A 13,260-nucleotide genomic window follows, 5' to 3' on the forward strand; every position below is an offset into this window, starting at 1 on the left:
TGCACGGATTGGCTGGGTGCGGAAAGTGATGTGCCGTGTCCTGTCATTGGCCGAAAGAGTCTCGTTTTGATGCCACCCGGGCTCAGATTGGCCCAGCGGGTCCAGCGCCGCATGAGGCACTGGCTGGGTGTGAGGTGGCGCGAGCCGCCGCCCTCCCTGCCCCCACCCGTCGTCCCTGAGCACCACCGGGGGCCGGGGCCAGCGCCAGCCTCAGCGTTGGCATCGCCGGGGTGAGCTGGAGACACGGGCCAGTTCTCTGCGTGATGTGTTCACCACCCCGGGGTGACCGCGTGAGGACAGCGGCCGCACCCCGACACTGCTGTGGGCCCTCGGTGTGGAGGCCTGTGGGCGTCCAGGCCACGCCCGAGACCAGCCCCTCCGCCGGCGCCGCTGCAGCGACCCTCGAACCCGGGCAAGGTCTCCACCGCCGTGGCACCGGGTGCGGGAGGCGTTTTCCCCCCTCCCAGCGGGTCCATGCAGGGGATCGGGATGTTCTGAAGCCCCCACTGCTGTGCCTGGAACACCCGTGTCTGCCGCTCACCCCTGAGGACTTGGGACCTCAGGGGGTGAGTGGCAGGGGTGGCCGGGACATGCCAGGCCACCCACCTGGCAAAGGGCAGCGCCGAGGGCGCCCCGCGCCTGCCAGCGCCCGGCCGGGCCCGCCCTGCCCACCTCCCATCCCCCATCCGGGCGTGACACTTGACCGCGTCTGCCGGCCCCTCCCCTTGTCCGTCCCCTCCGCGCCGCTGGCGCGCGCCTTCTGAATGCCAAGCATTGCCATAAACTCCGGGGACAAAAGCCTGGGTCACAAAAGCCCCCTCTAGAAGTTCACACCCTGAGGCTTCCCTGGCAAGGCTGGGGGCCGTTTGGCCCTTCCATGTGGACTGCAAAAACAGTGTTGGAATGCAGGACTCTGGGTATGTTCTCGAAAGTTGTTACAACCCCAACCCAGGGTTGACCTCAAACACAGGAGGAAGGGGGAGGCTGGAGCCAGCCAAGCGAGCCAGCCGTCCCCCCACCAAGGCACGCAAGGAGGCCATTCATCTTCACTGCCTCTGCCGAAAATATACGTCTACGGGAGAGCCAGGAATCTCTCTCCAAGGGTGACCGGGTTGGGGGTTTTGTTGTTCTTCAGCCCAGAAGAGAAAGAGAAAATGGTGTCATTTTTTCAGGCAGCAAGTGATTCCTTTCAGGCCTTCAGCAACGACGCCCAGATGAGTCCACTCCCTGCCTCCTGCTCAGCCCACAGGCAATCTGGGCACAAGTGACACATCCCCTGGGCGCCTGTCCCTTCGCACTGGCCCAGGGAGTTCATGTGTCTGATCAGAGGGCGCAGTCCACCCTCACTATCTAGCTGGGAAGTTTTTGTCATCTGCCTGTCCGAGAGGCAGCTGTGCAACCAGTGCCATCACTCAGAGCCAGTGCTCAGGTGCACCCCAGACTCAGGGTTTCACGCTATAATGTCACTGTCTTGAAATTCTTGATAGTTACTATCTTTGAACTTGTGTTTTAGAAGTGAAGTCTGAGGGGAAAATGGAGCTTGGAACTTCAGCTCCCAAGTGGCTTTCCCACCTTCCTGCCTCCTCAGGACAGATTATCAGCTGCCTGTCTGCCTGCTTCCTCTGTGCCCAGCCTCTCTCTTGACATCCAAAGGATCACAACTCCCACTCAGTGACCACTATTATTCTCTGCCCCTGACCAAAAAGAGCAGGGCAGGGCTGGAGTCCTGACCCTGGCCTGGACTCTGCAATGCAGAGATACCTGCAAGTCTCATTTCCCCGCCTGTAGGATGGAGGTGATGCTGACAGCCTCTTGGAGCCATTGAGATAGGAAACGAGAGAGATTATGTGAGAAGACAGGGTCAGGAATGTTGAGTTGAGGGTGGCCTCAGGCCCCTGTCCTGCTCCTTTTTGCTGCTTGGGGTGCAGCTCAATTCCAGCCTCACTGTGGCCCCCAGGCCTCCTCTGGCCTTCCTCAGCCTTCCTCAGGAGGCCAGAATCCTCCCCTGATCACCCTCCCTGCATGTCCATTTCTACCTCCCCAGGAGGTCAGGGGAGCAGGATCCCAGGTCTTCAGAGTCATTTCACAGATTTCACCAGAATAAAAGTCCCACTCATGTGGGGTTTACATTCTGGTGGGAAAGACAGATTTTCGAAACGTGGCCATTTTTCTTTGGGCCTTTGTTAGCTGCATCAGATGGAGGAGGTAGCCTGGTGGACTCCTTCAGTCCTCGCTCTTGGACACAGAGCTGTCTCCCAGCCTTTGTTGTTGTGTTCTCCAAGGATGTCGAACACAGGCTGAAAAGCTCCCTAAATCAATTTCACTTAAAATGGTGTCCACCCTCCTACTAAAGAGTGACAAAGGGTGTTGGTTAGGATTTTTATCTTGAAAACTGATTTGTAAAGTCATGAAAATTGAGCTTATTTGGTCTTACACTTAACAAAACTGTGGGTTCTAATTGTGGGCCTGGATGGGGACATATCTTACAAGTAGTTGATTCATTTATATAGATTTTCATGTTCTGGGCTTGCCTCCACCCTCTACCTAACCCTGGAACCTCAGACCCCAAGCTCCTGGGCACTTGGATTTTTCCCTGACAAATTCCCCGCCTGTGATATTCCATGGGCACCTCACCTTGTGTGCTTGTGTGAGGTCTCCTTGAGTACTCTTAGCAGTGGGGTTGCCAGGCCAAGGAGCCTGTCACTATTGTTTGTGACCAGCTCACCAGACGTGGTCAGGAAGGACAGTTCTGTGTCCTATGTCCTCTGCTCCTCACCCCCTCGCCACACACGGGGTGCCGTCAATCAGCCAGCGCCGCCTGCCAGCCCAGCGCACCTGTTGTGTGCCCCCACTCCCGCCTCCTCTAGTCCTTTGGGGGAAGAGTGGAGAGGAAAACAGGCCGAGACTGAGAGGGGTTTGTTGTCTCGTCGGGCGACAAGAGACACGTGGGAATTGGCTAGAGAAGCATGTGAGGCTGGGCGGACTCCAGGCCAGCCCCAGAGGCAGATGGGGGCTGCCAGGCAGGCTGGGAGGTGAGCCCAGGGCTGGCCTTGGGCACCATGGCAGAATTCTGGGAGGGGGCTGCAGTCACGGCCAGCTCCCTTTCTGAATTGTTCTGTGGGTTGTGGAAGGCTTTGAAATTTGGCGCCTGCACCTTGTCACCTTCTTGGGACTCAAGGCTGCAGGGGTGGGTGTGAGACAGAGAGCCTGGGCACCTGGTGGCCACTCCCTGAGCTCCCCACGTGACAGAGGGCAGGTCCCATTCTCCTTTTGTGTCTGGTTTGCCTCATCTGTACATGGTAGGGGCTGAGCTAGCGTTCCTTGCACTCCCTCCAGCTTTACTCTTTGGGGTTCAAAAGGTTCCCTTGCAAGCCTGTGCACCCGAGAGCACGCACGCACACACGCACTCACAGCTGAAGAGAATTAGGCTCAAAACGTCCACTCGGCTTTTCTCTTGATTCCAAGGTATTTAGAGTGGGGGTGGGGGATTAGGGGAGGAAGTTGCTGAGCTAATTCTTTTGCATTTGCCAGCACAGAAGTGCAGATGGGGCCCAGAGCCCCGGCGGTGTCCCAGGGGAAACACCAGTCCTCTTCTGCAGTGCAAGGCAGGAGAAAGAACTGCTGTGGGAGCCCCTCACCCAAGCAGCAGGATGTGTGGCAGGCCCTGGCCAAGGAGTTCTGTGGGCCTCAATTCTCTCCCTACCCTGCCCCCACCCTCGGAGTCTAAGGGTGGAACCATCTTCAGACCCAGCCAGGTTCCCAAGTTGCTGCTTCCCTCGGAAGCTGAGAGGCCCAGGGCCACGTGGCAGCCTCCGCAGTCCATCTGAAGAAAGGCCCCACCCCACGCTGCTCTCAGGAGTGGACAGGAACGTGGGGGAGTGGGGGTGGTTAGGACCTCAGGGTTATCCCTGAGTGGCTGATGCATTGCCAGGAAGCCTGCTCTTAAGGTCAGCCCTTGCAGTTGGCAGTCTGTGGCCCCTCCTCGGTCCCCTTCAGTGAGGCTTTTTGCATGCATTGGTCCACACACCCACCACTGCAGCTGTCCTGGGTAAGGGCTCTGTGATCCTGCAACGCCCACCTTCTTCCTTCACTGGTCATAGGTTTCTGCTGACCCTGCAGCCCATGTCCTTGTTCCAGAATCTTCCGCCTCCTGTGGCCTGTGTGTCGCCTGCACCTGCATTCCACTGGGGCTTCCCTTCCAACTTGATGGTTTCAGGTACATGGGCCTGTTGTCAACTCTGTTCCCACTGAGCCCATGAGACGGCTATTCCTTTGAGACATGTTTACTTGACTTCCTGCCCCAGGTCTCTGCTGTACCCACAGGTGGCATGGACTCATGTCCCCACCCAAATCACATCCCCACCAGGATGGGCAGGCTCTGGGTCCTTTTGGGCCTTGTAGGCTGTCGTCAGAGGGGAGGCACAGTGGGGAGTCTCTAGGAGGTTTTGGGCAAGGCAGTGCCAAGGATCAGATCTCCCTTCTAGAAAGGTCACTCTGGCTGCTGAACAGAGAGAGAACTGAAGAGAGGCAGCAGGGTGAGGGGGAAGACTACGGGGGACTTGCCGTCACCCAGTGAGAGAGATGGGAGGGTTGGAGAAAGCGAGCATCTGTGGAGGTGTGAGAAGTGCCAGGCTGGGCTCCCTCAGGCGGCAACTTTGTCTAGACTTCTGGCTGAGGACAGGGAGGAGCTTAAGGTAGCCCTCAGCATCCAACAGGGGTAGCAGCCTAGTGCATGTATGACCACGAGCGAGCCCAAGGGAAGGACGGGTTTGGAGGGTTTCTGAAGATCTGGCTTGGATATAGTGGGGTCAGACCCTATCCCTCCACCCAGCTGCAGTGACAACTCTGTGGCTCTGGGGCACTGTCACCCTGTGGCATGGCCTGTTTGTGGTGTCCATTGCCGTCTTAGCTACCCAAGGCCCAGGGAGAGGCACACGGCTCAGGCTGACAGAGTGTGACAGATGCAGGTCCTGCTCCCTCAGGGAATCCCCCATTCCAGGACAGTCTCAGCCCCCATGCAAGAGCAGCCTCAGCATGGGCTGCTCGGGGAATGCCCTCAGACAACAGTGCTGTGTTAGGGTCACTCCCAGCCTGTCCTCACAGGCAGATTTGCGTTCCTGCATTTGGGGTCAGTGATAACGTGAGGCCAGACGGGTGGGGGGTCTGGAGTTCAGGCGGTCTCCATGAGTGGCAGCACGGGGTGTGGGCCAGTTCCCATTGGGAGGGCAGCTGTGCTGTGTGTGTATATGTTTGGGCATTGCTCAGCCAAGCCTTGATTAGCCGAACCCAACTCTCCCAGAGCCCCCACTTCGACGCGGGTTAACTCAGCAGCTGTCTCCTGAGCACCTGCTTGGGGCCTGGTTGGGTGCCAGGCACGGGGGGGTGGGAAAATGAAGTGAACTGGGCCTGCCAGACCCATTGCCTGCAGGGCCTTTTCTACCACCACCTTCCAGAGGCAGCTTCCTCCCACAAAGCATCCCAAGCTCGGGGTGTGTGCCCCCCTTCCTGTGCAGGCCTGCCACTTCCACAGCTGCCCCCCAGCCAAGAACAATCCCCTCAGCCTGCCAGGGAAAAGTGGGCCCAGGCCTTTGAGGACATTGCCACAGCCAGGGCCAACCTGGGAAGTTGTTTCTGATTATCTCTTGAGTCCTGGGAGAGGTGTTAACAAAAAGCCCCATCCCTGTCGCTCTGGTGGTTATAGTTTGTTTTACGCATTAAAAGGCCCTGGATCGGTATTTGTAGTGAGAACAGATATTTGCAGAGAGCCTACTCCATTCCCAGCTCTGTACTTGTAGAGGGTGAGGCTGCTGAAATGAAACCCACCAGGCCTCTGGTGAGCAGTGGGTGCAGAGTCATTGGCAGTAAAGGTCCTTAGAGAACCTGAAGAGAATATTCTAATCAAGCTAGGCAGGCTCAGAAGATGGATGTAATTTGGAGGAAAAAGACAAGAATGGGAAAGAAAGGGAAACCTACCTGGGGTACCGTGTGGCTGTGGTGGTTTTAGTATGTGTCTACAAGGCCTTTGACAATCCGTTCTTCCGGAAGTGGCACTTAATTCCCCTCTAATTAAGTTTTGGCTGGACTGTGATTTGCTTCTTTCAAATAAAATATGGAAGAAGTGACAGAGCATGACTTCCAAGACTAGGCCTTGCAGCCTCCCTGCCCTCTCACTGGGATCACTGATTTTGGGGGAAGCCAGCCACCATGGTGTGAGGACACTAGCAGCCCTCTGGAGAGGTCCTGTGGTGAGGAACTGAGGCCTCCTATAAATGGCCTCCTGTATGAGCTTGGGAGTGGATCCTCCAGCCCCAGTCAAACCTCTGATGAGACAGCAGCCCTGGTCTACACCTTGACTGCAGCCTCACAGGAGATCAGAACCACCCAGCCAAGCCACCCCCAGATCCCTCGCCCACAGAAACCATGTGGGATGATAAATGTGGGCTGCTTTAGGAATGAAGCTGTAGGGTGACTTGTCACACAGCAAAGGCCAGCTGACAGAGCCACCCACTCTCACCAGGCTTAGTCTGACCCTTGTCAGGGGCAGCAAAGTGGGCTCAGCCTACCTGTTGGCTTTTACTGATGGTTGGTGGCTCCCAGGAGAAAGAGTACTGTGCCCAGGTAGCATGCCCACCCCAGGCATACATAGCATGTCTTTGCTCTTGCAGAGTTTGAACTCTGCCCACCAGACCAGTGGCTCTTAACCTAGGCTCCTCGTGAGAACCACTCCCCGGTGCAGGTCCCACTCCCAGAAAGGAGAGCGGTTTTGACTCCTGCAGTCTCTAAGGCAGCAGAGAGCTGTGGCATTTTGGGTGGAGTGGGTGGAGAGGGTGCGTGATGGGTGGGAGAAACTGACAGTTGGAATGTGATTTAGGAAATGTAACGGGTGACCTTTTCTCCCCAAGAGAACACCAAATCCATTTCCTTGGGACATGGATAAGGCTAAGGGCAGCACCCACAAGGACCAGGAGCGGGGTTCTCAACAGCCACTTCTGTCCCAAATTTGTTTTCTATGCCCAGGAATGTCAAAGGGCCCTCTTGGGGTCAGCCACAGAGAAGGGGGAGCAGGTGTGATGGGGTGGTGATGGGATGCTGTAGGTGGATGAGAAGTAGCACCAAAGCTCACTACTGTTTTTCTCTTATCCCTGGGTCTTGGGGACAGGCCTGTGCCAGAAGCAGGGATTGCTTCTGCTGTAACGTCCACTGGAATAAAAAGCAGACATTGCAGTGTTGAGAAATTCCTTTAGCCCTCAGGAGGCAAGTTACAGAACAGGACAGAACTGCCCTAGTCAGGCCCTGCCTGGGCACAGAGCTGCCACCACTCTTCCAAGAGCCCTCCCTTTTGGGGACTGTGCCCCCACCCCACCCCCAGGCAGCCCCTGCCTCCAACCTTACTCCTAGCTGGTGTTCTGGGCCGTCAGTTCATAGGTCCAGCTCTGAGACCTGCCAGGCTCTCAGAGCAGCCTGGACCCAGGAGAGCGATAAATGGATGTGCACTGGCACACTCCAAGCAGGGAGGCTTTGTTTATCTCCCAATTAGTCCTGTAGCACTTAGTATGTCAGGCATGGTTCTGAGGGCTTCATCCACACTACCACCCACTGTAGAGATGGGAAAACTGAGGCATAGCAAGGTCAAGGGATTGGGCAGGCCTTAGGATGTAGAAGCTACTAGAGCTGGGCTGCACCTGGGTATCCTGGAGCCAGGGTCTATCCCTCCCCCTCTGCCACACGGCCTTGGTGTGAGGGACACAGCCCCTGTTTGCAGAGGCAGCTCCTTTCATGGAGCATGGGGGACAGGGCAGGTGTGCCTTGGCCCACATTTGGCTTCTTGAGCGCCGAACCTGCATGTGCCACCCCCCAGAGTTCCTGTGTGTGGCCGGGTGAATGTGCACAGGTCGAGGAGGTGGTGTGGGCAGCCAACCTCCCAAAGCACCAGGCCCCTCAGGGCTGTTCCCCTGTTTCCCAAGATTTCCCAAACAGATGGCCAAGATCGGGGGCACCCAGGAGACCACGCTCATGAATTGTTCCACTTGAACACAACATTGTTTTTTATGGAACTGGGCTGGGGAGTCCTCTGTGACTCTTTCCTCAGTAGGGAGAGAGCTCCTGAACCCACCGTGCACACTTCTTCAGCAGCCGCTTTGGAGACTTGACTTTGACACTCTTCTCAACAGGATCCCTTTCCTCACTGGTGTCTGCGGCCCGGGCCGCTGGCATGGCTGAGCGGAACTTGGCAAAGCAGTGAATTGGGAGCTCACTTAGGCACGTGGTCCTGAGGCTCCTTGCTGGCGTTTCTGTTTTGCTCCCTGCTCCTTTCTTTTCTTTGTAACTTCTCTTCAGGGCACCCACAGCCCCCGAGGAGGGTGGGGCTGAGGAGGCTGGAGGTGGAGCCCAGGCTTATCCCCCTGGTGGGCCAGGCAGGCAGCAAAGGGACCAACCCCAAGAGGGTCGGTGCGGAGACCCCTGGGGTGCACAGGGTGGGCAGTGACCAGAAGACTCACCCCAGGGCCTCTAATTTTGACCCTTGATCTGGGTCTAAGCACCTCTGAGCAAGAGGTGAGGGTTTCAGGCAGCCTCAGCTCTTAGGAGGCAGAAGATACAGTTTATACGCGGGTTGCGGGGGGCGGTCCATTTCCATCTCCCTGTTCTCTCCCCAGGCCAATGGCCAGGGCTAAAGCCCTCCTTGGGACATGTCAATAGCAGCAAACATTTTAAAGATGTGACATGTTCGAAGCCTGGCAACAGGGGCAGCTCCAGCTGTGCGAGAACATGGCTGGATTTACGTCTGCGGCAAAGCACCCGGTCACCTTTCTCTGCTTGGAGTGCAATCTTTTTTTGGAAGCCCTGCTGGAAAATCTGAATCTTGTGAGCCATCAGCTGTTTATAATCAGAGAAGCATATGTTTAAAAGAGCTGAGGGGCCTTATAAACTCCGTGTGCAAATTACCTTTGGGGCTGCCTGCTCCACCGCCCCTCCCTGAGGCTGCCATCACTGGCGAGCGGCTGAGTGTGCTGCACAGAATTCGCTGTAACCCTGTTGTGGCACGGGGTCTGTTTAGCTTTAGTCACGTCAGCTTGGCCCTGGAGCGTGGGAGCCTCCATCTCTCCTGCACGGCTTCCAGGCCCCCCCCACCCCCACCCCCCAGCCCCAGCTGCAGAGGACTTCTGGCTCCCTGTTCCTGGGCTTTCAGCATGAGAAATATCAAACCTGGGAACCGTGCAGCAAGAAGCGGGCAGAGGCTCAGACGCCAGGACCTGCGGGGGCTTCCTGGAATTGGGAGCCACTCTCGGTGTCTGCTCTGGTGCTACGGTCCTGCAGGGCTGTTTTTTTTTTATTTTGTATTTTTTGGTGTTCATTTTTGTTTTTGTAACAGCTTTATTAAGATAAAATTCACATACCATACAATTCACCCATTTAAAGTGTACGATTCAACGGTTTTTAGTACGTTCAGAGTTGCGCAACCATCACACTATCTAGTTCCAGAACATTTTCAGTGCCCCTAAAAGCAACCCTGCATTCTTTAGCCGTCACTCCCCACTTCCCTTCTCTCATTCCCCAGCCCCAGTCAGCCACGGCTCTGCTTTCTATCTCCACGGGTTTGCCTGTTCTGAACATTTCACATAGCTGGAATCACACACTAAGCAGACTTTTGTGGCTGACTTCTTTCACTTAGCCTAAGGTTTTCGAGGTTCATTCATGCTGTAGCATGTATCAGTGTTTCATTCCTTTTTAGGGCCAAATAATATGCCATTTTATGGATATTATCACATTTTATTTATCCATTCATTCATTGAACACTTGGGCCATTTTTACTTTTTAGCTATTAGTGAATAATACTGCCAGGAACATTTGGGTACGAGTTTTTATTGTGGACATAGATTTTCATTTTTCTTGAGTATTCACAGAGGAGTAGAAACGCTGGGTCATATGGTGACTCCATATTTAACCTTTTGAGGATCTGCCAGACTGTTTTCCAATGTGGCAGCACCATTTTGCATTCCCACCAGTAGTGTATGTGAGTTCCTATCTCTCCACATTCTCACCAACACTTGTTACTGTCTGCCGTTTTCATTTTAGCCATCTTAGTGGGTGTGAAGTGATATCTCCTAGTGGTTTTGATTTGCATTTCCCCGATGACTAATGATGTTGAGCATCTTATTAGCCATTTGTATCTCTTCTTTGAAGAAGTATGTATTCAAATTCTTTGCCCAAATTTTAATTGGGTTGTGTTTTTATTATTTAGTAGAGTTCTTTATAGTCTAGATATAAGTTTTTTATATTCTAGATTCAAGTTCCTTATCAGATATATTTTCTTCCTTTTTGTGGGTTGTCTTTTCACTTTCTTGATCATGTCCTTTGACTCACAAAGGTTTTTAATTTTGATGAAGTTCAATTTATCTGTTTCTTTCTTTGGATGCTTATGTTTTTGGTGTCATAACTAAATAACAACATGTAATCTGAGGTCAAAAAGATTTACCCCTATATTTTCTTCCAAGAATTTTATAGTTTTGGCTCTTACACTTAGGTCTTTCATCCGCTTTCAGTTAGTTTAACATATGGTGTGAGGTAGGGGTCTAACTTTATTCTTTGTCATGTGGATAGACAGTTATCCCAACACCATTTGTTGAAAAGACTCTTCTTTCCTCAGTGAAGGATGTTGATACCCTTGTCAAAAATCAGTTGACAGTAAATATGAAGGTTTATTTCTGGATTCTCAATTTTATTCTATTGATTTGTTTGTCTATCCTTATGCCAGTACTATATCGTCTTGATTGTTATAGCTTTGTAGTGAGTTTTAAAATTGGAAAGTGGGTTTTCCAACTTTGTTTTTCTTTTTCAAGATTATTTTGGCTATTCTGGGTCCCTTGAATTTCCATATGAATTTTACAATCAGCTTGTCAATTTCTGCAAAGAAACCATCTGGGATACCAATAGGGATTGCATTGAATCTGTAGGTCAACTTGGGGAGTATTGCCATCTTAACAATGTGTTAAGTCTTCCAATCCAAGAGCATGTATTTCATTGTATTTGGATTTTTAAAAATTTGGTTCAAGAATATCTCATAGTTTTCAGTATAGTTTTTGCACTACTTTGTAAATCCTACAGGGTTTTGTGTGACAGTGACTGGCAGCCATACTTCCTCCCCATGTACTGGGTTCTGCCCATCCTCCAGCCCATCTCCCTTGGAGTCTCTCCCCGACTCCAGGGCTCATGGCCCCTTTCAGGCCCTTGGCTTCTGGTAATGCTTCTTTGTGGTCTCCTGTCTTGCGCACTAATTGTTGCCCAAGTCTTTGCACATCCTGCATCCTGCCTGGAGTGTTCTCTCTCCTCCCTTTTCTGTGAGCCGTCATGAAACACCTCCTGTGGGCTTACTGAGCCACCATCTTATCCAAGTGCTCTGTGGCAGCTTGTGGAATCTTCTCAACCTTGGGTGTCGCCTGCCCAGAACGGGGCTCTCGGAGGCCAGGGTGACTCCACTATCCCACCAACCTCTGTACCCCACGGCCATGCACAAGGCACAGGGTCCCACAGAGGGTCTGTGGGTACAATGGAGCTATTTCCCAGTCAGACCTCACAATCGGTAAACTGTGCTTAAACTAAGTGAGGTATCTTAAGGCTTTACCACCAGGGAAATAGAACTTTGGCAGCTTACAAAGGAGTTTTATTTTTCAAATTTCCTTTCAACTCGAGGGTCTCAAATCCACTCAGCAGACTTAGGAGGGAGGGTCCTGGCACTGCTTCTGAGGAGGGTGCCTTTGAGGGGAGGCAGAGTTGGCTCACGGGAAAGGCTGGCCCTGAGGCATGGCAGGTGGCAGGTGGCTGGGGCTGCTCACCTGCTCACCTGTGTCCATCCCCTTGGGCAGCACACAGCCAAGTCCTTTTGGACCAAATTGGATCACTGCCAAATGGTATGCCCAGCCTTGCTGAATCTCTACCCATCTGTAAAAAGGAGAAATCGTTTCTGTGCTCCCTGCCTCCCAGAGAGCCAGGGAGAGGCCAGGATCCAAGGAGGTAACGGCTTTCTAGCCCTTTGGAAACCTGAGTGGGGTTTTGTGCTTGCATCTCATTTAAGCCATGAACACTTGCCGGCTCTCTATTCATCCACACCCCCTGCATTTATTGAGTGCCTTCTGGGTGCCCGGCCCTCTACTAGATGTGGGAGTTACCGTGTGGGATGGACTGACACTGGTGACCCCTGCCTGGGGGAAGCAGACTCTAGCTGGGCAGCCTGGCCTCAGGAGATCATCACAACCCTCGCTGGGGCTGGGGTGCAAATGGGGCAGGAACAGGAGTCCGGCCTGGGGGATGTTAGACTCACCAGCCATCCCCTGGAAAGCTGTGGGGAGACTCAGAGCAGAGCCCCCAGTAATCATAGTGAGGTATTTAGGGATAGAGTGGAGATCTCGCCCACATATTCCCGAAGCCACCAGGCCAGACACCGCCCCAGCTGAATGCATGCTGGCGGCCCAAATGTTAGACACTCTTCTCTCTTAGGTGGTTTGAGGAGACTTAGGGGCTTCCATATTCCCCTTGGAACATGAAGAAGGGGCTGGCTAAGGCCCCCATCCCTGCTCAGGCCTACAGGAGAGCCCTGTGGACACTCCAGCCTCAGCCTTCCTTGCCATCCGCAACCACACCAGTGGCTGGAAAGCCAGAGTCCCCTGGCTCCTGCACTTTTTCTGCACGGGACTCCCTCACAGCCTCTGGGTTGGGAGCACACATGGCATCTCCTAGAGAGTTTGGGGGCTGGACACAGGGAGGAGGCAGCATGGGAAATGGAAGGACTGCAGCCCCCGCCTCCCTCCAAGGCAGTTGTCAGAGCAAGATCAGCTCCCTGGAAGACACCCGGGTTGTAAACAGGGTGGGGCAGGGGTCCTGGTAAGTATGAGGAACCAGAGACCTGGTAAGTATGAGGAACCACCCCTTGGCATGGGGCACCCAGAAGGCAGCAGGCTAACGACTCCCCATGAAATTAACAACTTTGTGAAGCATTTGGTATTTGGGGGATTTTACATTAGGGTTAATGAGCCTCTGAAATGAGATCCCGGAGAGGGGCCAGGACCATGCCTGGGATGTGGCTTCCGTGGACTGAGCAGCCTGGAGCCCCTACTTGCTTGGTGTCCCGAGCCAGCCGGACCTGCATCCCGCTCCTCCTCCGCTCCCTGGAAACGTTCCCTGAATCACATTGTTCACTGCGCTTCTCAGGCCTTCTGGGCTCTTCCTCTGCTGCTCGCCATAAAAACTCTCCAGTCATCTTTTCCG

The 13,260-nt window shown here is 53.9% G+C and overlaps 1 protein-coding gene across 5 annotated transcripts in view, besides 5 other annotated features; it reads left to right on the top strand.

Moving 5' to 3' along the window:
* KCNQ1 (potassium voltage-gated channel subfamily Q member 1) overlaps window positions 1-13,260 on the top strand; it is a 404,098-nt gene that overhangs the window by 255,094 nt on the left and 135,744 nt on the right. The gene's annotated exons all lie outside the window — the stretch shown is intronic.
* Window positions 27-296: a silencer, noted in NCBI's record as "silent region_3072". NCBI's record gives its function as "represses an Ori minimal core promoter by ATAC-STARR-seq in GM12878 lymphoblastoid cells {active_cell/tissue: GM12878}" and the evidence as "EXISTENCE:reporter gene assay evidence [ECO:0000049][PMID:35858748]".
* Window positions 27-1,333: a biological region, named in NCBI's record as "nonconserved acetylation island sequence 52 enhancer".
* Window positions 94-1,333: an enhancer, noted in NCBI's record as "nonconserved acetylation island sequence 52". NCBI's record gives its function as "activates a minimal heat-shock promoter by reporter assays in Jurkat T cells {active_cell/tissue: Jurkat}" and the evidence as "EXISTENCE:reporter gene assay evidence [ECO:0000049][PMID:17135569]".
* Window positions 307-376: a silencer, noted in NCBI's record as "silent region_3073". NCBI's record gives its function as "represses an Ori minimal core promoter by ATAC-STARR-seq in GM12878 lymphoblastoid cells {active_cell/tissue: GM12878}" and the evidence as "EXISTENCE:reporter gene assay evidence [ECO:0000049][PMID:35858748]".
* Window positions 8,110-8,280: a silencer, noted in NCBI's record as "fragment chr11:2729441-2729611 (GRCh37/hg19 assembly coordinates)". NCBI's record gives its function as "represses an EF-1alpha promoter that drives an FKBP-Casp9 reporter gene in an ReSE screen in HepG2 liver carcinoma cells {active_cell/tissue: HepG2}" and the evidence as "EXISTENCE:reporter gene assay evidence [ECO:0000049][PMID:32094911]".

This window comes from Homo sapiens, chromosome 11 (assembly GCF_000001405.40).
Source record: "Homo sapiens chromosome 11, GRCh38.p14 Primary Assembly".
Lineage (NCBI taxonomy): Eukaryota > Metazoa > Chordata > Mammalia > Primates > Hominidae > Homo > Homo sapiens.